The 22,448-nt window shown below is 41.5% G+C and overlaps 1 protein-coding gene across 5 annotated transcripts in view, besides 2 other annotated features; it reads left to right on the plus strand.

The window, feature by feature from the left end:
• POU6F2 (POU class 6 homeobox 2) overlaps positions 1–22,448 on the plus strand; it is a 490,693-nt gene that overhangs the window by 320,686 nt on the left and 147,559 nt on the right. The gene's annotated exons all lie outside the window — the stretch shown is intronic.
• Positions 11,744–12,247: an enhancer, noted in NCBI's record as "H3K4me1 hESC enhancer chr7:39349937-39350440 (GRCh37/hg19 assembly coordinates)". NCBI's record gives its function as "activates a minimal SCP1, AML or CMV promoter by ChIP-STARR-seq in primed H9 embryonic stem cells {active_cell/tissue: H9 hESC(primed)}" and the evidence as "EXISTENCE:reporter gene assay evidence [ECO:0000049][PMID:30033119]".
• Positions 12,248–12,749: an enhancer, noted in NCBI's record as "H3K4me1 hESC enhancer chr7:39350441-39350942 (GRCh37/hg19 assembly coordinates)". NCBI's record gives its function as "activates a minimal SCP1, AML or CMV promoter by ChIP-STARR-seq in primed H9 embryonic stem cells {active_cell/tissue: H9 hESC(primed)}" and the evidence as "EXISTENCE:reporter gene assay evidence [ECO:0000049][PMID:30033119]".

Below are 22,448 nucleotides of genomic sequence, written 5' to 3' on the forward strand. Positions count from 1 at the left end.
GGCTATTCCTCAAGGATCTAGAACCAGAAATACCATTTTACCCAGCAATCCCATTACTGGGTATATACCCAAAGGAATATAAATTATTCTACTATAAAGACACATGCACATGTAAGTTTATAGCAGCACTATTTACAATAACAAAGACATGGAACCAACCCAAATGCCCATCAGTGATAGACTGGATAAAGAAAATGTGGTACATATACACCGTGGAATACTATGATGCCATAAAAAAAGAATGAGATCATGTCCTTTGCAGGGACATGGATGAAGCTGGAAGCCAACATCCTCAGCAAACTAACACAGGAGCAGAAAACCAAACACCACATGTTCTCACTTGTAAGTGGGAGTTGAACAATGAGAACACACGGACACAGGGAGGGGAACAACACACACCAGGGCCTGTTAGGGGGTGGGGAGTAAGGGGAGGGAGAGCATTAGGACAAATACCTAATGCATGTGGGACTTAAAACCTAGATGATGGGTTGATAGGTGCAGCAAACCACCATGGCACATGTAAACCTATGTAACAAACCTGCACGTTCTGCACATGTATCCTGGAACTTAAAGTAAAATAAAATAAAACAAAAATTAAAATTAAATTAAATTTTAAAAAATTTAAACTACCCTCACCTGCTTTTGAAGTCGGGCCAGGCAGATGCTTGCAGTTTTATTTTTCATCACTACTTCACATATTTTTCTTCATCTTTTTTGAATAACCAGACAGTCTTATCTGTTGACCCTTTTGGCTACTGCTGTGTATTTCATCTATTTCATAAAGATCTGTTTGGGTCCACTTAGAGAGGGAACTCAAATAATTAATAAGCCCAATTCCCTGAATTGTGCCTACAGCATTTGATACTTCCGAAAGACACTGAAATAAACAAAACAGAAACAGCTAGAAGTGTGTCAATTTCACAGCAGGCCATGAAAAAATCCTCCCTGCCCAGCAGAAAACTACTTGTAAATAGGTAATGAGGGGCTTGAGTTGTTTCAAGTTTGATATGGGCTTCATTCATAATTGAATGTTGAAATCTAAAAATCGTGAGAACTAAATAAACCGGATTTAAGGAGCATTTGGTTAGAAACTAAACAACACTCCTAGATTACCCATCTCACTGGCATTTTTGCTGTTTCTGCACGTGGGTCTTCATTCAACTCCAAAAGGGCCTTTGCTGATGTCAAGGTCCCTCAGGCAGGAAAGGCTCGGGAGAATTCTCAGCCAGGGAAAAAGTGATGAGCCACAACTTGATTAACTTAGCACGCTGGCATGTGCCCCGAGGCAGCTTCCTTCAGGCCATGCTTTTTGCTGCCAAACAGCCACTGTTGTTTCATGCCCCCAGCCAGGAGGCAGAGACTCCTTCTCAGCATCCAGCCCACTGTTTTTGTTTCCAGCAGTCCCAGTTAGGCCGCCTTACTTCCCACTGCAGAGCCACATCTCTTCCCCTCCCAAAGGCAGGCCAAGCCCACGAGGACCCACCATATACTGTATTTTCCAGTGCCAATCACCTTCAGCCACTGATGAAATCCTGAAACCCAAGCATAGGAAACTGTGTCCTTCACAAAAATGTTACAAGAGAAAAAGGTAAACAAACGTGACTTTATAAAAGTTTAAAACTTCTACATGGCTAAACTAAACATTGTGATAAATAACTAGAACTAAAGTGGAAGCCAGAATTCAGTTGTGTGGAATGGAAACCATGCAGATAATCAAGGATGTATCCAGATCCCCGAAGACCAGGAAGGGAGGGAAAGTGGGCAGAGGAGTGATAGGGACCTTAGGAAGGTGTTTCAAAGTGCTGGGGAGGGACTTACAACTCTCAGGCCAGTCCTCACGGCAAGTGACGAATGCTGGAGCTGGCCAACAGCCACCCTCTTCAGCCCTCACTTAACTTCGGCATAGTTGGCTCGGGCTGCTGTAACAAAGTACCGCAGACTGGGTGGCTAACACAACAGAAATTTATTTTCTGACAGTTCTGGAGACGCAAAGTCTGCAATCGAGGTGTCAGCAGGGGTGGCTCCTTCTGAGGGCCATGGAGGAAGCATCTGTCCCAGGCCTCTCTCCTTGGCTTGCAGATGGCTGTCTTCTCCCTGAGAGGTCACATCACCTTCCCTCTGTCCACGTCCATGTCTAAATTTCCTCTTCTTATCAGGACACCAGTCACACCAGATTAGAGCCCACCCTAAGGACCTGATTTTAACCTAATGTCTGTCCTCTTTAAAGATCCTATCTCTGAACACAGTCATATTCTGAGAGTCCTGGGGGTTAGGACTTCAACAGAGAAACTTGGCAAGAGGAGACATAATTCAGCCTCTAACAACTTTACCGGGAAACTCACTACCACTTTTGCAAAGTTATTTTCCTTGAAATGCTGTCTTTCATTTTACAGGGAAAATTGTATCCCATTTGTGTTTTGAGGAAATGCCATAGAGTAACTTTGCCTTTCTTCTTCTCAGGATTTTTATATTTTGGTCCACTATGATGGCTATCCAGAAGGCTATCCAGATGCTCAAAAGTGGTTTTTCAGTGGCTATTTAATAGTTTTTCGACTCCTTTTCTTTGCTATCCTGTAAAGCTAGAATTGATGCATTTCTAGAAGTTTGGGTTGTGTTTATTTCAGAGTCTTCCAGCATCAGGAAGAAATGATGAGATCTTCCCAGTGCCCTTGCAAATCATGGCATCCAGAACTGAACACAATATTCCCCTGTAGGATCTGTCAGTCCACCGTGCAGAGGGGTTTTACAGCCTTTCCTCCAGGCACTGTTCCTTTATCAATCACATCAGCGCTGGCCAACAGCATCATTCTGTTGTTGAATCCATTGTAGCTCGTTGTCATCCACAACCTGTAAGGCTTTTTAACATGTGCTGCTGTTACCCGTAGATCACACACTAGCAATCTTGCAGAGGCACAGGTGTGTGAGTGTGTGTGTGTGAAACCACCACAAAGATTGCTAACTGTGCCTTCATTAAACTTTATGTGGTCAGGTTTGTGTCATCATTCCACCCTGTCATGAATTTTTTGGACCCTTATTCCATCAGTCATTGCCCTGACAGTCTGTCCCTCTATGCCCTTATTCCAGTCACTAATGAAATGTTAAATAGAAAAGGGCTGAGGACAGATCTTTGAGGCAGTGCATCAGAGAGAGCTATCTGGGCTGACACTGCCCCATTAAAAAGTCCTCTAGACTTGCATGCTCAGTGATTTGTGGATTTTATGGAGCCACCAGTAGCCTATATTTTTCCAACTTAATCACACAGACATACTTTGTTGACTTTCTGCCTAAATCCACATAATGGTAGTAATTTGTCTATAGTTTCCTCCAAGTCTACAAAGCTAATGTTTCTCAGGGGAAAAAAAAAAAGAATTCTTCCTCTTTATTTGTTCATGGATAAGATGTGCCAGCTCTGTGCCATTGCCCCCTTTAAGCAGTTACAACCCGCTTATTTAATACAGTTGCTGTGAGTTTTGCATGAGAATGAAGTCAATTTCTCCAGTCTATAGTTTTCAGAAACCATCTTATTCCATCTTTTGAAATTTTTTACATTTTCTCAATTTCACACCCCATTCTCCTATGCAAATTCAAAAGTTATGAGACAAGTTTTGTTCAAATAAGCTTTGAACTAAGGTAACCTAAGGACTCTTAAAAAAGAGGGTAATGGACAACAGGGGGGATCTACCCCACCACAGGAATAAAGATCATAATAGATGGATCTAATACCAAAAATGCACTGTTGGGGGGTGATATTTATTTCCCTCACACTCTATGCACTTGTGGATTTTGTTCCAAAGATAAAATGTTTGGGTAAGAGTCATTTGAAGACTAATAGAGTGTAAAAGAAGAAACTCAATACTCCACATTGGTATCACTGAATTCAGTAGTTGAATCTATATTCTAACCTGGCGCTGTTTATTCCCTGCATGTTTGATTGGTCTCAATGAAACTATGAGATCCTTGAAGATAGAGGCTATGTCTTATCATTGCTTGGACTCTCTACAGTGGTTAGCACAGCACAAGACATACAGAATTTCAATAAGTACATTTGTCTTGACTTGAAAGAAACAATCAATGAGAGCCAGGAAACTAGAGTAGAATCAAAATTACTTCTTAGATAAGCAATATGCGTAACCACATCCTTTCTTCATCGCTTGAGCATCTATCATACAACCAGTTCCATTAGAGTACAGTAAGTGTTTGTAGAACTGAGCACACAGTAGGCATACAACAATGACTGAGTGATGAGTGACTGAACGTCAGAGACCTAGATATGAGGTCTAATCCAGTCCAGTGGTTGTCAAATTTGAATGTGCATCAGAATCACTTGGAGGACTTTTTAAAACACAGATTCCTGGGTCCTACCCAGAGTATATCAGTTGCTCCAGGCTGGGGCCTGAAAATTTACATTTCTACTAAGTTCCAAAGTGATGCTCATGCTGTTGGCTGGGGATTCCACTTGGAGAATCATTGCTTTTGCATCTGCTTGAAAAGGCACTGGATATTGTAGCACAGACATAGCTGTCACTACAGTGTATTGCTTTATGTTTTTGTTTTGTTTTTTGTTTTTTTGGTTTTTTTTTGAGACGGAGTCTCGCTCTGTCACCCAGGCTGGAGTGCGGTAGCACTCACTGCAAGCTCCGCCTCCCGGGCTCGTGCCATTCTCCTGCCTTAGCCTCCTGAGTAGCTGGGACTATAGGCACCCTCCGCCGCGCCTGGCTAATTTTTTGTATTTTTAGTAGAGACGGGGTTTCACCATGTTATCCAGGATGGTCTCAATCTCCTGACCTCGTGATCTGCCTGCCTCAGGCTCCCAAAGTGCTGGGATTACAGGCGTGAGACACCACGCCCAGCCCTGCTTTATGTTTTAATTCCTCTACTTGACTATTTTAATATGGATGTGTAGAAACACAACATTCTCAGATTATAATTTTTATTGTCCTCTATTTTTCACAATATGCTTATTCCCTGGATCTGTTGGAATATTAAAAAGAAGTGATCCTCTGGTTGGATGGGATGGAATGATGCTCTGGAGGCTAGGCTCACTTCCTTCCTTCAGTCAATGTGGGAGCAAAGCTTTAGTACCAACTATGACAGGTGATGATACACACAGCACACCTAGCAATGGCCTGCAGACTTAGGAATGGACATGCAATCTATATATTTATAGGAAAGGAAAGAAGAGAGGAAGAAGTTCAATAAATTCTAAGAAATTGTCTTATTAATTCTTCTCAGAGGGAAAAAACAAAGTCAAGAAATATAATACATGAAATACCACCTACTTCAGACCTTTATAATTTCTTAACAAAATTATTAACTTCAGCCTTCTCCGTCTTCCACATCAATCCACTTCAAACTATCCCAAATATGGTATCAGACTAATTCACTGAACCACAGTTCTGATAATGTCACCCCTTTGCACCAACACTTTCAGTGATTTTTATATCATTTCAAATGGGATTAGGTGTTTCTAGAACTAAAAGCAAAACAAATCCATAAAGGAAAATTTTCAATGATTTTATATGTAAAAATGTAAAAGAACTTTATATTAAAAGCCCACCGAAATGAAAAGATAAAAAACAAACTGAGAAAGCTGCAACACATATGGTAGACTGTGAAGTACCTTTAATATATAAAGAAATCACAATCAGTAACGAAGGGGCTGTTGCATCACAGGAAAACATGAGCAAAGACATGAAAGAGAAAACAAACTACAGAAACAGTCTCTGGAGAGCTTTTGAGAATTCGAATCGACATATCTTGAGCCAACATTTGGTGTGTCTCTTGGACGTCTGAACAATTCGGTAACCTCAGACGGTTCACCATGACTAACTCCTATCAAACCTCTGCTCACTAATCTCTATAACAGAAGTATGTGTATCACAAGATCTCTCCAAAATCCTGACCCCAAATTAGAAGATTCTGTAAAACAAAGCCAATTTAAAGACAGGAGAAAAAAAATCAAGAAATAATCTTAAATCAAGTTCCAATGGAAACCCATAAATAGGGCTCGCTGGCAAAGTAAATGGAAACCATCAACTCTGGCTTAAACAGAAGTCCTCCATCCAAAGATTAAAATAAAAATAATGCCCCATGCAAGCTGAGAGTACGCACACACAGCATTCCTTTCTATTTGGAAAGGAAGTCCCTAAATTTTTTGGTATCTTGCAGAAAATGTCTAAATTCCTGGACAGTTTTACTGAATTAAGATACTTAGCTTAGGTAGTGGCTCCAAAAGTAAGCCTAAGGCTAAAAGTCCCTGAGCGATGATTAACCATAGCCACCAGAGTGTGGTAATAAATTCTAGAAAGTGGACTCATACAGAGCATGATTTAGTTAAAAGTCTTTCAGTTAAGTAAGGTATGTTAGAAGACGCAACACATACCTTCAGGCTAATGCCTGCCCAGCTAAATTCTTAGCCTGTTTTCAAACAAACAAACAACAAACTTTCTGCAATTATGTATACTATACAAATTCACAAGTTAACATGTGTGATGCTAAAAGCCAATATGTAACTTACAGGCTAAAATCATCATCATTACCATTGTTGGACATCTAGTGCTGAGATAGGCTCTTTAGAAACATGATTTCATTTCATCTTCACAGGCACTTTACTTAAGAAGGTATCATTTCCTCATTTTACTCTTGAAGAAGCTAAGGCTTAATTAAATCAAGTAACTTGCCCAGGGGCATACAATTAGGAATAATAATGTCTCTAATTTTGCACTTCTTACTGTATAATCAATGACAATTCCTATCTTGTTGTTTTCTAAAATGTGATTAAATCAAAATGTATGTAACTCAAAAATGCCTTCTTATAACTCTTAAACAGTATTTTTTTTAAAAAGTCAGAATGGCCCTCCAGCTTTATATTGGGTTTATTATCACAAGACCAAGAGGAGTTAGCCTACTCACAAGCATTCATGCCGCAATCAAGATGTGTAGACAGATGTGCAGCAAGTGTCTGCACATTTCCTGGTATTTGTGGTTATTTGCTGTTATAGTCCTCAGCGTTAAAATTCTGAAGTTTCCAGGTATTATAATTGCATGGGAGGACTTCTGTAGAGGCTTTTCCCCTGCTGTGCAATTCCAATGAGAACATACAGTACGACCTGAAGGAAAACAGTTGGCTTAAATTGACAATATTATATCTCTCTGAAAATGTAAGATGGTAAACAGGCCTTTGCTAATGTTCTTCAATGTGCAGAGAACATCCTGAAGCCTGATACTTTGAATTGTCATGTATGTGATTTCCACTGAATATTTGTAAAAGAAAAAGAGAAATGAACTAAATTTACTCTTAGAAAACTTCTAAGTTGGAGTAGAATAGTAAATCCTTTAACCACTCTGAAATATGACTCAATTTCTTTTCCTTCCAGAATAGCCCTTCTTACAATTTCCTTTTCTTTCCCTTTAAAAAAAAAATCTATAGTTACTTAACTGTAGAGAGAAACATTCCATTTGCAAATTTAGTCTGTGAAATCCTATATCCATGAGCAATGTCTAAAATTTCCCAGCTTCTAATAAATAGAAACCAGGTTCACAAATCAAGAGAACCCAACACATTAAATCAAGAACTGCCAGCCTGTCAGTAGCCAATAAATTAGCATTGTTGAAAATAAAGTCACGCTTGCTTATAAAAGCAGCTATTATGGATGAGTCTAAGAATTTGACCTTCCAACAGCCGTGGTGGCATAAACTCACAAAGGAAATAATAGCTATCACTCATTGAATATCTTCTGGTATCCAGACACTTTACCCACAGCATTGCATTCATTCGTCCTAGCATTCTTGCAGGTGGGTATCATTAAGCTTGCTTTATGGATGAGGAAACCGAGGTTCAGGAGGTTAAGTAACATAGCCAGGGTCAGATTTAAACATAGATCTCCAAAACCCATGCTCTCCCAGCTACGCCATCCTACCACTATTACATCACTAACAAGGTGCCAGTTGGGGCTCTTCTGCCTGGTTCTACTTTCTAGAATGTATTAACCACACTCTGTCATCATTGTAATTATTGCCTTCGAGTTTTTAGGTCTAGTCTCACTTTTGGGGTCACTACCTAATCTAGATACCTAGCTAAATTCAGAAAAAGTGGCCAGGAATGTAGGATTTCTGCAGAATACCAAAAGCCTAAGGACTTTCTTTCCAAATAAAAGATATGCTATTTGCATACGCTTTCAGCATGTCTGGAGCATGATTTTATATACTAATCCTTGGATAGGAGACCTCTGGCCAAACTGGAGTTGTTGCTTTCCATTTACTCTGCCAGAGGACCCTGTTTCCATCCACGTTAGGATTAAGATTGTTTCTTGATTTCTTTGCTCCTGTTTGTAATGGGCTTTACTATTGCAATCTTTCAGCTCTGAATTAGGATCAGAATTTTGAAGGGATCCATTAGAAGGGGTGCAGGGGATGTCACTCCACTGAAGTGTTTGAGGACATTGGATTGTTCAGATGTCCAAGAGACCCACCAAATGATGGCTTGAGAGATGTTGATTTGCATTATAAAATGCCCTCAGAAGACTGTTTCTGCAGTGACTGTTACACATTTAAAATAATTGTTGGCCAGCCACCACCTCTTAAAACATCTTTTTGCTAGGTCAATATTTAATAGGTCAGAATATTCTTTCTACAATGGCAGCTTTGGGATTGTAGATCATGAAGCATGTATAATTTTCGGAACTCTCTTTAAGAAAAAGAGTACCAAATTAAGAATACAAAATTATGTATTAAAGTTAATATTTTTTAGAATAAGAAAAAAATCACAACAAATTACAAATGTAAAAGTTAGAAAGGCCATAAACATCACAAAATTCACAAATATAATCTATCATACTCGATAATATTTCCTAAGTTTTTTGGTTAATACCTTTTACTGCCTCTTCAGATGACAAAAATTGTGCAATCTCAATTTCCATAGAGATGATTGAAGATAATTTTATACTTCCTCTGTCATGATTAATCTTTTTTTGAAAAATTATTCATTCTTACAAAAGTTTCTTAGAGCTTCATGTGTTATTGGTAAGTAAAGTTTTAGGATTATTGTCAAACAAAAAAAGTCCTCAATTAAGTTACTTTCATTATAAAAGTTACAAGATTTAGACCAGGCATGGTGACTCCCACCTGTAATCCCAGCATTTTGGGAGGCCAAGGTAGGCGGGTCAGTAGTTCAAGACCAGCATGGTCAACATGGCAAAACCCCGTCTCTACTAAAAATACAAAAATTAGCCAGGCATGTAGTCCCAGCTACTCAGAGAGGCTGAGGCAGGAGAATCCCTTGAACCCAGGAGATGGAGGTTGCAGTGAGCAGAGATCGCGCCACTGCACTCCAGCCTGAGTGACAGAGCAAGATTCCGTTTCAAAAAAAAAAAAAAGAGTTGTAAGATTTAGAAGAATATTTCATAGACTAGCTTCTGGCTTTGCATATATCAACTGTTGCCTCCACTGTCCACCTACTTCCAGTGCCAGGTGCCACCGAACAAAGTCCTATGGCAGTGCATATCCATGTCCCAAAGGGGTAGAAGGACTTTCTACACCAAGATATTTCACAGTAACTCAGCTATTCATAGAAGGAACTGCAAACCACGTAAAGACATCTCAGTCTTGACAACCATTGCTGAATATATCCCCAACTCAAGTTCCTCACAAATGCCCACAACCATTCCAAGTACCCCCAACCTAGGGCAGTGTTGGGGTGGGGGCACGGATGGGGATCAATGTGGAAAAAGACAACAGAGGCTGCCACCTGCAGTTAAATATCTCAGTGAAACGTGTGATCAGGAGGACATGGTGTGAGGGCCTCCCCCAGGTGCGTAAGCTTCCCATGAGGGGCCCTGGGACGTAAGCTTCATCAGCTTCATGGTAAAAAGGAGATTGTCAGCTCTGGCCCTACACACTTCCTAATCTAGAACCCACGGAAAGTTGGTCCTGGACTACAGATGTGAGTAAGAATTGAGCTCATGTCTCTAGGTAAAAATAACCTCAGAATTCCAACTGGAATATCAGAACATTATTCTCAAAAACAATAGGATTTAGGGTTTCCATTCTTCCTGTCCCCTCTCTCATACCAGGCAGAAGAAGTAGAACGTCATCCAGCTCAGACTGGAGGCCATTGCTCCTGGGGGCAGCCAAAAAAGGTGTATTCTGCTCCACTAAGCCAGGGCTGAGGCACGGCAGGAAGTGGGCGCCCTGTGCCATGTACCCCACCCCATCCCAGGAAACATCATCTGACTGCCCATCACTAACTCACTTCCTTCCCCCTGCGGGTGCCAGGAATTGATCCGCCTACCTTCCTACCCACTTTTCACGTCAGCCCAGGGTTCTGATGGCCATTTTGGAAAGCAGCATCTCAGAACTTCTCCCTCAGTGTCCTGTGGCGCAGCCACACGCAGAGACACACGCCACCTTTATGAGGTTTTCTACACAGATGTTACTGCTCGCAAGCGGCCATTCAAAGTCTTCTTCTGTGTCACCCACCCTCCTGTTTGTTTGCCCCCCATGTAGATAAAAATAAGGCACTCCTGGTTATAAATCAGAACGAGGGGGAGGGAGTCGGGCACAGAATATAGCGAGAACGAAAAGAGACTCAACTGCCTTTGAGGAAACTCAGGACTTGGAGAGGGTCCAAGGAATTTTCTTTAAGAAGCAACGCCGGAGCCTCCACAAGGGAGGAGATGGTGCAAGGAATCCTACCTACCATTGTCACGCTGGGTAGACTGAGGTGGATGGAAAAACATTTGCTCTCTGTCCTCTCTCTTCCCTCTTCTACCTTCTAATCATTCAGTAGAGAAGAGGCAGGGTAGGATGGAAAAGAAACTTCCTGGAAGAAATGAAGGAGTAGAGATGGTGAAGGAAACCCTCAAATAATGGCAATGGCTCCTGGCTGGGACAGCCGATCCCCATGGCTGTCCATAAAGAAGACATGGTTAAGAAGGAGATTGCTAGCTCTAGAAACTCCACACCTTTAAAAAAAATTTTTTTTCCTCAGGTTCACAAACTGAAGGGCATTTAAAGAAAACTGAAGGGCTAGTATAATGTCAAGGTTAACATTTTAATTGCATAAAACATGAAGAAAGCCTACGCTTGTCATTTTTACAAGGTTACCTTTCCTGTACAATGGAGGCTTTTATCCAACAACTATATACGAGTTGGTGACATGACATAGAATGTGACTTACATAAATGGAAGAGCTCACACTCTTTTTTCTCTATAGCTCCTCCAGAAGGCACCAACAAGTAGCTAAATTGTGGCCTTTTAAACCTTTTCTCGCAGATAAGAAATGCACATATATGTGTCATTTTGTAGTTTTGAATGCACAGGGCCTAATTCTCCTATACTATGTCTGGCCCCTCAGTGCCCAGAGCTCCATCGACTTCAAAGAGGGTTTTGCAGGTGGAATGGCAGATAAGCGGTGGAGAATTTAGCTCTTTTGGATGATGTGATCACATAACAAAAGCCTGCCGTAACCCCGCAAGAAGGCAAAGTTAAGGTTACTATTGGAGCCTTAACTCTGAATTCCCTGAATCTAGGGCAATCCAGAGTATATAGCCCCACAGTGCAATACTTCACAGTGCTTTACAATGAGCGGAAAAAGAGAAAGAAAAAAATCTTGTAAAGGATGGGAAGCCTTTCAGATCTGTGCATTGAATCTAATATTTTTTTGAAAAATAACTTTCCAAGGTTGAAAAGTAGCTGAAGTTTCAACACGTTATACACACTTAGGAAATAACAGCTTTATGTATAAGGCGTGGAAGGGATAAGTGTCCTTATTGATTTATACACAAATATCTGTTTAAGTTTTCATTTTACGAGACTCAGGAACACAAAGGAGATTGTCCCCTAGAAGCACAGACTTTTTAATAAAAGACCCTCATTTTCCCAACCAGTGATAGATATCCAAATCCTCAAGTGTTGGTGAAAAACATTTGTCATTGGTTTAAGTATCAAAATGAAAATTTGATTCCCTTTAAACAGATTCTTTTTAAAATTAAGAAAACACCATTACGCATCAGTGTGTACTTTGTGATGCTAACAAATAACCATTACATGATGTAAGTACAACATACTAGTTTTGTTCTCCTAGCCAGGAGGAAGGCAGAACTATTGTCATCACCTAGAACTAAAAGAAAGGATTTTGCAGAATGAAAGGCAAGAGGGCACACCAGAGCCAAGAGCCACCAGGGGAGGCTGCGACCCAGCGGCAGGGTGCTGGTGAAGTCCCCTGCCTTGCCTCAGAGCAGGGGCCCCGCTGGCTGCCTGCCTTTCCCCATCCTGTGTCCAAGACAGAGGTGAAGAGCTGCTTGGGAAGGGAGGGAAGAGGCATGAAGCAGGACAATGGCGACCTCAAGCCGACTTCCTTTGTTTCCAGTGAAAGCGACTCATCCTGAATTGGGGGGACAGTTAGGAGGGTGATCCTCCAGGGAAGCAAGTCACATCCCGGTTGGATAGAGTCATCCTGGCATGCAGTTTTTAGCAATATTTCCGGAGAGCAGGGAGTGGGTTACCAAGTGGCTGTCTCCTCCTCCTCACTCTTTCAGTCAAAGAAAAGCCCCAGTCTTCAACAGAAACTCTGAGAGGCAAAGGATCCCTGATAAGGAAAAAAAAAGTTCAAGGAGAACCCATTCACACTATGCAGAGTGGTCACATTGGGTACATGTTATACAGGCAAAAAGCAGCCAGGTTCTAAAAAATTAAAAAAAAAAACAAACACCAAGTCATATCACCCCTCTGCTCAAAACTCTCCTGTGGTGACCCATTGCACTTCTCATCACCTCACCCTGCCACAGTCTTGCCCATCACACTGATCACCTTTTTACACATTATATAGTGTACCTACTTATGAAGCTCATTATTTACTTTCTGTCTTCCTCCGCTAGAACGTAAGCTCCGCATTGGCAGGAATTTTTGTCTGTTTTTATCGCTGATTTGTCTCAGTATCCAAAACAGTGCCCGGCCCTTACTAGGTAGTCAATAAGTATTTGTTGAATTAATTAGTTAATTAGTGGATGGGTGGATAAATGATGTTACAGCATTAGACCAGGCAGAAATAATTCAATGATCTAGCTATGTAGGTGTAGGTATAAACATAGAGAGAGAGCAGTGGCTATAGCTGTAGATAAAGCCACAGGCGAAGGCTGTGATAGATAGAGACACAAATGACAAGTTGTAAAATAAAGGGACAAAGTATGCAAAGGGCAAATGAAGAATTTATCCTGAAAGTTTTTAAAAACATAAAAAATTCCTTACAAAAGGAATGAAAGAGAACATAAAATTAATTAAACAAGACCTCAAAGAGGTAATGGCAACATTGAATGAAACTTCTAAAGAAAGAATTAGGGGCTACAGAAACACATTATGAACCAGAATAACATGATTAGAGAATGGAATAATAAATTAGAAACATCAGTGAACAGAATACACATAGCTGAAAACAGAATTAATAGCCCTATATTTCTATGCAGTGAAAATAGAAGAAAAGGAATTGCAGATTAAAGCAACTCACAGAAGAAAAAGATACGGAGGATAGACATTGGTGATCCAACATAATATAAAGGAATTGATTTTCCAAAGAGAATGGACGATGTAGTAGAAAAAAGAAAAAAAAAACACCTGGAAATGAAGAAAGGACTGAATCAGCATGACAAAATAAGTTCTGGGAAAAATTAATAGTGAATCTTTGCTATAAGGCATGTTTTGGTACTGTTAACTGAACTTAAAGGTTAGTTATTCAGGCATGCAGGTGTCAAAAGCAAGCTGTCTAGAAAGTACCCATAGTAAGCTGGTCTCCAGCTTTTTCACAGAAACATTCAGTGCCAGAAGACAGTGGTGCAAGCTCAATAAAGCTTCGAGAGAAAACGTGACCTAAGTATTTTGCACAAAGCCAAGCAGTCACCTAACCAGTAAAGCCACTACAGGAGTTCCCCCTTTATCTGTGGGGAACACATTCCAAGACCCCTAGCTGCCTGAAACCGCAAGTAGCATCAAACCCTCTATGTACTATGTTTTCCCTTATTAAGTTGAGAACTTTCACCTTTTCACTTCAAGTGAGCACTTCACTGCTTCTCTTTGGCAAATGTGAATGGCCAGCATCACTACTCTTGCACTTCGAGGCCACTATTAAGTAAAGTAAGGGTTACTTGAACACAAGCACTGCGATACTGCAACAGTCAGTCTGACAACTAAGATTGCTGAGTGACTAACAGGTGGGGAGTGGGTACAATGTGGATCTGCTGGACAAAGGGTTGCTTCACTTCCCGCAGGGGACAGAGTGGGACGGTGTGAGATTTCATCACGCTACTCGGAATGGCATGCAATTTAAAGTTTGTAAGTGGTTTATTTCTGGAATTTTCCATTTAATATTTTCTGACCACTGCTGACCACGGGTAATTGAAAGTACAGATAAGGGGGGACTGCTGTACTATGTGAGAGCCCAGAGAACGCAGCAATATTGAAAATCCACTCAGCAAACAGAGGAGTGGAGAATCCACCTCACTCAGAGAAAACCGAAAGTTCTTTCCATGGTTTACAAGTTTCTGCCCCTTCTGGTTTCCCTTATCTTTCCAGCCCCATCCCCGACTCCATTCCCTCTTGACCCACACTCTCCAGCCTCACTTCCCTCCTCCTGATCCCCAGACCCATCAACCCAACCACACCTCAGGCCTTGCACCATTGCCTCTGCCTCAAGGGTTCTTCACCACTTGTCTTATTCCCTCACTTATTTAATGAGACCTTCCTTGCTGCCTTACCTAAAATTCCAATACCCCCAACACCCTCTTTTTCTCTTCTCTGCTTGATTTTTCTCCTTGGCAATTATTCCCATCTAGCTTACTCTATCTTTACATATTTTGTTTCTTATCTGTCTCCCCCAGACTACAATGTAAGTTCCCTGAGGTTGCAAATTATTATCTGTTTTCTTTTTCTTTATTCCTACAATAGTGCCTGGAACACAGTAGCCATTCGAGTATTTATTTAGTGAATAAATAAATCAGGGTCTAAGTCCATTCCTTCCCCGTCCATCCCCTTAACATTTTTGAACCAGAGTGAACCTAGAGGGTAATAGCAGTTAAACGGAGGGGTCTGAAAACCAAATCTTATCAGGACAATCTGACGAATACCTAGCCTTTGTGTTAATTAACCCTAAATATATTAGAAGAAATGTCAACAATGACTTTTCAGATATTGCTACAGAAACAGAATTTGAACACTTACAGAAAGGTAAATTTTTCCGTTTTTCAAGAAAATTATCTTAGCGTCAGAGCTAATGATAAAATCAGCGTCTTCATAAATGCTGAGCTTCCCTGCCAATGGAGATTGTGAAAAAGATGCCGGATGTTTGCTGTCAGGGACCCTATGGGAGAATTCCCTACCATCTAAAGGAAGTTTAGTCCAGAGAGCCCCCAACTTCTTCTGCTTTGAGATTCTGTGATGCTATGCACACATGAGATTCTGTGATGCTCTGCGTGCAGCTTCGATTGTTCTATTGTGTGTGACGATGATTTGCAGACATTTGCGTTTGGGAACTGTGACTGTACTTCTGCCTGCAGGTCAGGTCCCTGGCTTCCTCACCCAGTTCCTACTGGCTGCACTTTGAATCACAACACTCCCGGCGTGTGGGAGTCCAGCACAGTTGGTTGACTGGCCTTTCTTGAAGAGATTTACAATTCAGCAGTAATTCCAACAGGAGGAATTCATTTGCTGTAATTGAGCAAGCAGATCATCCCCTATTTCTTTTGAAAATTGTCATTAATATGATCTTCAGGCAACTCCTCCCAGCTAGGCATGGGCCTTGGTTGAAGCAAGCTTCAGTATTTCTTTGATGTAAGGGTAAAAGACCTTATGTGAGTGAGCTAAAGATTCTAAAAAGCATTGAGTTGGTTTAGGGCATTTTGATGAGAGGGCATTTTTGCTGGGAGTGGTAAGGAAGAGCATGAAACAAACATTTGTATTTGTTTGCTTTTCTGTTTTGTCACTCTTATGTTCCTAATAATCATGTTTTGTAAGGCTATTGCTGTTTCTGAGTCCAGTTGGCAAGTTATAGAATTCATAAGAACATTCCATGCCACAGTAGAAACATAAAACATTTATTCTTACATTTACAAAAACTTATTTTTTGTTGGAACCGAAATTAATCACACTTTGATTCTAAAGGATACATGAAGTAAACTCTAGCAAAGGCATTAAAGAGATCTAAAGCGCTGAATAAAAAAAGAATTGTTCCTAGTTCTTTAGAAATGTACCTGCTTAAGCCCAACTGAGGTAATTACTCTTCTGAACTTTAAAGTAGATAACTTAAAAAAAAAACAAAAAACCTCTTAGTCATGGCACCGTGACAGTAAAGAACTTCTGAAAGATGGTCTTCAGGTGATCAAAATCAAAACATAGCAAAACTTCAACCTCTGTGGTCTTACCTGTAACACTGCACTGTTACACGTAACATTTCACAGCGTTTCCGTGACTTGAGATTTATGGTGCTGTCAGTTTTAGTATCATGCTTTATAGCATAGAAAGAAAAGTTTGTGCTTCCCATTTGTTGTTGAGTAGGGGATGGCTGCTATGTACAGCTATGTATAGGTTAGGATTTTTGAGAAAGCCTTGCTACTCTAATTCTATCAAACCTAGGAGAGAATCTTCTTTTCACTTTTAAACATCTCCTTAACATTTACAGTGTTAATTTTTCCAGGGAAGTATCCATACTCGAGGGTCACTGCAGGAAGGATTTTCCTGGCTTGGCTTGCAGCTGGTCATTAACACAAGTCCCTTAAGTCATATGTGCAAATGAAGCCCCAGGGGTTTTTGCAAGGGTTAGAGGAGGTGTATTAAGTGTGACACATAATAGGTACTCAATGAATGATCCATAAACATTTTGATTGCATTAGTTTAGTTTGTGTTTTGGGGCCAGTAAATCTGTATTGTTAGAAAAATAAATGGCCACTGGTTTATGGTCAGTTCCCACTCTCCTCCATCCTCCGGCAGGCAGCCTTACTATCTGAGTGGCCCCTCATCATAGCTACTAGAGCAGGGCAGCTCTGCTTTAATCCTCTTTATTCCGTTCCCCTTTCTCCTTCAAACTCTCCCACTTATCCCATGGATCTCTCCCTTAAGTCCTGGTTGGAGTCTCCAGTAGCAAGAATGGCAGTAGGTTGGGGAGAAAGAAAAGGAAAGAATGAACACGTTCAGTGTTTCGACTTCATGGGTGACACGGACCTAGGACTTTACATGCACAACTTTACTTTGGCTTTATAACACCCATGTGGAGTGACGAATTTTTTCTAATTATATAGACAAAAGATCTAAGATTTAGTTACATAATTTGTCCCCAAATTAAATGGTTTTTCTTTTTGATATACTTCTCCTGTGAGAAAAATTCTGCCAGTTAAGATGAGAGAAGTTGGTTGGGAGCAGCTTGAGGAGGCCCTTCCTTGAGTTTAAGTTCGATTTAGCACTGTGTCCTGGTAGTAATATTGGTAGCAGTAGGAGTAACAGCAATGAGAGTGGTCACAGTCAGACCAGGAATAAGAATAGTAACAGTAGTAATGGCAGTAGAAATCTCAGAAATAGCATGCCTCAGTCTATTGACAGGGTTCAATATTCAACTTGCTATCTTTTCAGCATTCCTGTTTTAAATGCCCAAACCATACCATTTGGGTCACCGGGCTGACAGATTTGAATTTATTTTGCTTCCAGGGAGCCTCTGAACACTGGCAGGGACTTAGTGTTTTGATTTCCTTTTTTAACTCTAACACTAACAAAGTGATCTTATTCAGAGTTTCATGTGACACTCGTCCCCAACATATCCAGGGACCCACATGCGAATACCTGACAGTAAAGGGTTTGGACCTCAGGCAGTGTGGCTGAGAAATATCCTAGGAACCTAGCTTGCCCCTGAGCCCCCTGAGTTTTCACCCAGTACCCACTGATTGCAGTGTGAGTGAGTCTCACCACCACAATGTGGAGTCAAGCAGCTCTGGGGATACCCAGCAGTCCCCATGCTTGCCAAGTTCTTTGTGCTATGTTCCATATAAGACTTATGTCTTGGGAGCCCCTAAGTTGGTGTAGCTCACAGTCCTCTGTGTATTGTCTCCTGTGAAAGACTTTAGGTTTCCTAGTTCCCTTCCTAAATGGATCTTCAGACTTTTAAAGTATTTATTTGTAAGACAAGGCAACAGGCCACTTCATCCTATTGCTGCACTTTGCTGTTGCTGGAGGAAGATGAAATGTTACAATTATTAGTTTCAGAATAGAACTTGATTTTGTTAACCACCTAATAATAAAAGAGAAATAAACTCATGTGGAGGTGAGTCTTTTTGAATATCCATTCTCTTTCAAGTCTTTCACTTGAAAAGTGAGGGGCAAAATCAGAAACATAGCCTGAGATTAACAAAAGCTTCCCAGTGACATGGGATTGTCTCAGCCTGAGAGGGAAGACTCTGATGTTCTTCCCAAGGCAAGAATCAGGAGCTCACCTTCCTTCTCACGATAAGCCAGGTGCTTTATTCCAGAGCAGGAATTTCTTTTTCTCAAATCCCACCCCCTCCGCAGTAAGTTATCCTTTATGCTACAAGGAAGTAAGTGTCGCTGAGCTGCTTAACCTGGCCTTGCCATTGGAGGGTCAGTATCTCTCAGAGAACACCCTAGCTCAGTGGCATGTAAAACTGACTCCCCAGTCAGCTAAGCCTGCACAGAGGCTGCCAACATGATGGGAACTCGCCGATGGCTTGTAAAAAGCCAGCACACACCCAGAGGGAGCTGTGTCCTTTCTAAAGTGGATCCCTCTTTCATAGTCCACGTTGGCTTGGAAGTCATCACTGGTTGCCTGGAACATAGTAGGCTCTCAATAAATACATGGTGCCTGAACAAATGAAGATGTATTCACAACTCAGTTTTTGTGCCAAAGATATTTTTCAGTTTTAATAATTTATGGTCAAAAGCTAAGACATAATACATTACCATGGGGGTTTCTTTTCACTTACTTGTTTTATCTTAGACAAAATGGTTATTTAAAAAGAAGTTTTTGGAGGCCTTTCTAATTATATTCCTCATTGAATCATATATTTACAGGGATTTTAACTATTAGGTACAGAACTGCCTCCAGAATTCTAAGCCAATAAATGACCCACCTTGGCATAAGTGATTATTGGTTCAACATATATTCAAAATGTATCAGATAAACAATCCTACCTTCTTCTCTGTGTGCACTTGAGCAAATCATTCAGGGTCTCTGGGTCTCATTTTCTTTATTTCTCAAGGGTAAAATTGGGTTTGATGAGTTCCAAGGACCCTGACATCTCTAATTCTCATACATTTGGCAGAATGCTGGCAAAGGAATCCTCAAATTACTAGTCACTCTTTCACTGTGGTGAGCCTCTTAAAGACTTCGCCCTTCATTTTCCCTTTCTTCGCAGCCTGACTGTCTCACTAGTAGGAAACGTTTTTTGCTTGGCACTTACAAGGGTTTTTTTCTCTCTCTTCCCACACTAACCCTATTGCTGTCTCATGGTTTGTAAATACTTCCAAAGAAACACATGCTCAAACACGTTGATAATTTACAGGCCAGCTACATATGCCACCAAACTGTTAGATTTTTGAGGGTAAGAAATATGCCTGATTTCTTGTGATATTTAGGCACCCAGCACAGTGCCAGGAAACCAGTAGAGACCAGCACTACTCACGGTTGGACCAAGGACCCCTGCACCAGAAGCTTGTTTAAAGGCTGCCAATTCCTCAGCCCACTACAGGGTATGTAATCAAAATCTGCATAGGTGGGGCCCTGGAATCAGCATTTTTACAAGCACCCTTGGTGATCCCTCTGTACCCTGAGGCTTGATAGCCTCTGCAGTGCACAGTCAATAAATATGTGCTGAACACTGAATGAACATTTCCAAAGAAAGAGAAACTTACCCCTCTCCTCAACAAAGGTCCTAGACTCACAAAGACAACACCAGAGAGAAAAGGAGGAAAGGCACAGAAGAAAATACAGTGCATTTAACCCAGTAGTTCTTATGTGTCTGCTGCAAAAGAACCCTTCTGCTCTCTTAGGAAAAAAACAAAGCAAGGCTCAGTTCCTCTGAGGTTAGTGCAATCACTACATGACTTGTTCAACTCACTGTGGCCTTCAACTTATTCATTAGGGCTGGTTCTTCCCTTACCCCCAAATGACGACTCAAGGAAGTCCTGTAACATCCCAGGCTACTGCTAGGTAATATAAACACTACTTTGCTTTAATAAGTAGAACATACAAACCCAGGTAATAGTCAAAACTCCAACTTGGGGCCAGGCGCAATGGCTCACACCTGTAATCCCAGCACTTTGGAGGGCTAAGGCAGGAGGATGGCTTGAGCCCAGGAGTTTGAGACCACCCTGGGCAACATAGTGAGACTCCATCTCTAAAAAAATTAAAAAATTAGTTGGATGTGGTGGTGCATGCAGGTACTAGAGGAGCTGAGGCAGGAAAATCACTTGAGCTTGGGATTTTGAGGCTGGAGTGAGCCATGATCACACCACTGCACCTCAATCTGGTGACAAAGGGAGACCCTGCCTCATAAAAACAAAACAAAACTCCAATTTGATTTGAGGTTTCAGACCCCTTCACCTCCCACGTCCTACATGTCAACCAAATTGTAAGCAGAAAGCCTGTAACTGGGAAAGGGAATCTCTCTTTGTTCCCCACCTACAGTTTCAGCTCCTCCTCCTCTATCTTTAGTTTCTGACTCTTTCAGAGGAAAAGAAAGCAGGGATGGTTCCTACTGATGGGCACTAACTACTGTTGGCTGGCTTCACGCTCGCTGGACTTGGAGATATTTACAGATAACTCTTTCTGGGGGATGGTATTGTGGTTTTTGGAAACCTCCCAATCCTGGCCTCTCAAATACAGATCCTTTAATGTGGGTGATGCCCTACCTCTAAATTCTGCATGCTGAGATATATTCACCTCTGCACGGGACTCTCTCAGACACAATCTCAGGTGGGCCATGCTAGGGTTTTGTCACTCATGTGACCCACATCCAGCCCCGAGGAAATTCTCATGCAAGCCTCAAGTGCCAGCCACCAGGGCCACAATCTCTCCATAGCCTCCCTGTTAGAGCAGCTAACCAGCCTGTCTTTTTACCTGTGGCATTTTCCAACAAGAGGCCAACACAGGTCTGATGTGACTCCCTACTGCAGGGACATAAACCAGCTCCATGGAAGCCTCCTTTTCTTGGTATGAAATGAAGGGGAAAGAGTCCCTACTCCTTCAGAGAGTGGGACTCACAGAACACCAATAGCTCTTTCCAAAATTACTATTTAAAATCATATTTCTGTATAAGATAAACAAAGCATGAAGAGATGTCTACCTAATTCTCAGACATCCTCTATGCATCTTGTTTCAGCAATGCACTATAGTGTCTGATCTGAAGGCCCATAACAGAATGAGACTAGGCTAGACTATTTAAACATGACTTTAAGCCGGCTCAGAGGGTAACCTCCCATCAGATAATATGGCTTGCACCTTTAGCTCACTCAGAATGAACCTCCATGGGGCAGAGAGGCTTTAACTCTTCTCACCTGGGAGGTCCAGAGGCTAGATAAGAATTCTTAAGACCTGACTGAAGAGAATAAAAACCAACAAGTGGCCAGAGTTCCCTCAACCACCGTGGCCCACCTTCCAGATTCTGAATCTCCGTCAGAAGACCTACCTCTCCCCATCAATGGATGCCAGGAAGGGCCATATGTTTCAGGGACAGATGCCCTTCACCCGGACCTGTAGCCTGGTCCCCCGCAGATGCTGTCAGTCATCAGGTGGATAGGTGTCTCTGGATGAACTTTAGAAGGGTCTGAAATTCCCTGAGAAATTATGTTAAATTTATAAGTATAAACACATCTCTCGGTAAAGGGTACATTTTTTTTATCAGATTCTCAAAGGGGTTCATAATCCAAAAAGTGTTTTTGCAGCCCTGGAGTTTCAGCATGGTCTGAACTAGGACAATAGTGTTCTAATGTTGGCTAACAACTATTAATATAAAAGACATAGAGTAGTTGCTGCTTTTCTGAGGGGGCACATGTTCCAACACCCCCAGTGGTTACCTGAAGCTGCAGATAGTACTGAACCCTCTATATACTATGCTTTTTCCTATTTATACATACCTATAAAGTTTAACTTATAAATTAGGCATAGTAAGGGGTTAACGACAACAACAATTTTTGGCCGAGTGCAGTGGCCCATGCCTGTAATCCCAGGACTTTGGGAGGCTAAGGTGGGAAGATTGCTTGAGGCCAGGAGTTGGAGACCAGCCTGGCCAACATAGTGAGACCCCATCTCAACCAAAAATTTAAAAAATTAGCCAGGCATGGTGGCATGCACCTGTAGTCCCAGCTACTTGGGAGGCTGAAGTGGGAGGATCGCTTGATCCCAGGAGGTCGAGGCTGCAGTGAGCCATGATCACACCACTGCACTCCAGCCTAGGCCACAGAGT

The sequence above is a fragment of the Homo sapiens genome, chromosome 7 (assembly GCF_000001405.40).
Source record: "Homo sapiens chromosome 7, GRCh38.p14 Primary Assembly".
Lineage (NCBI taxonomy): Eukaryota > Metazoa > Chordata > Mammalia > Primates > Hominidae > Homo > Homo sapiens.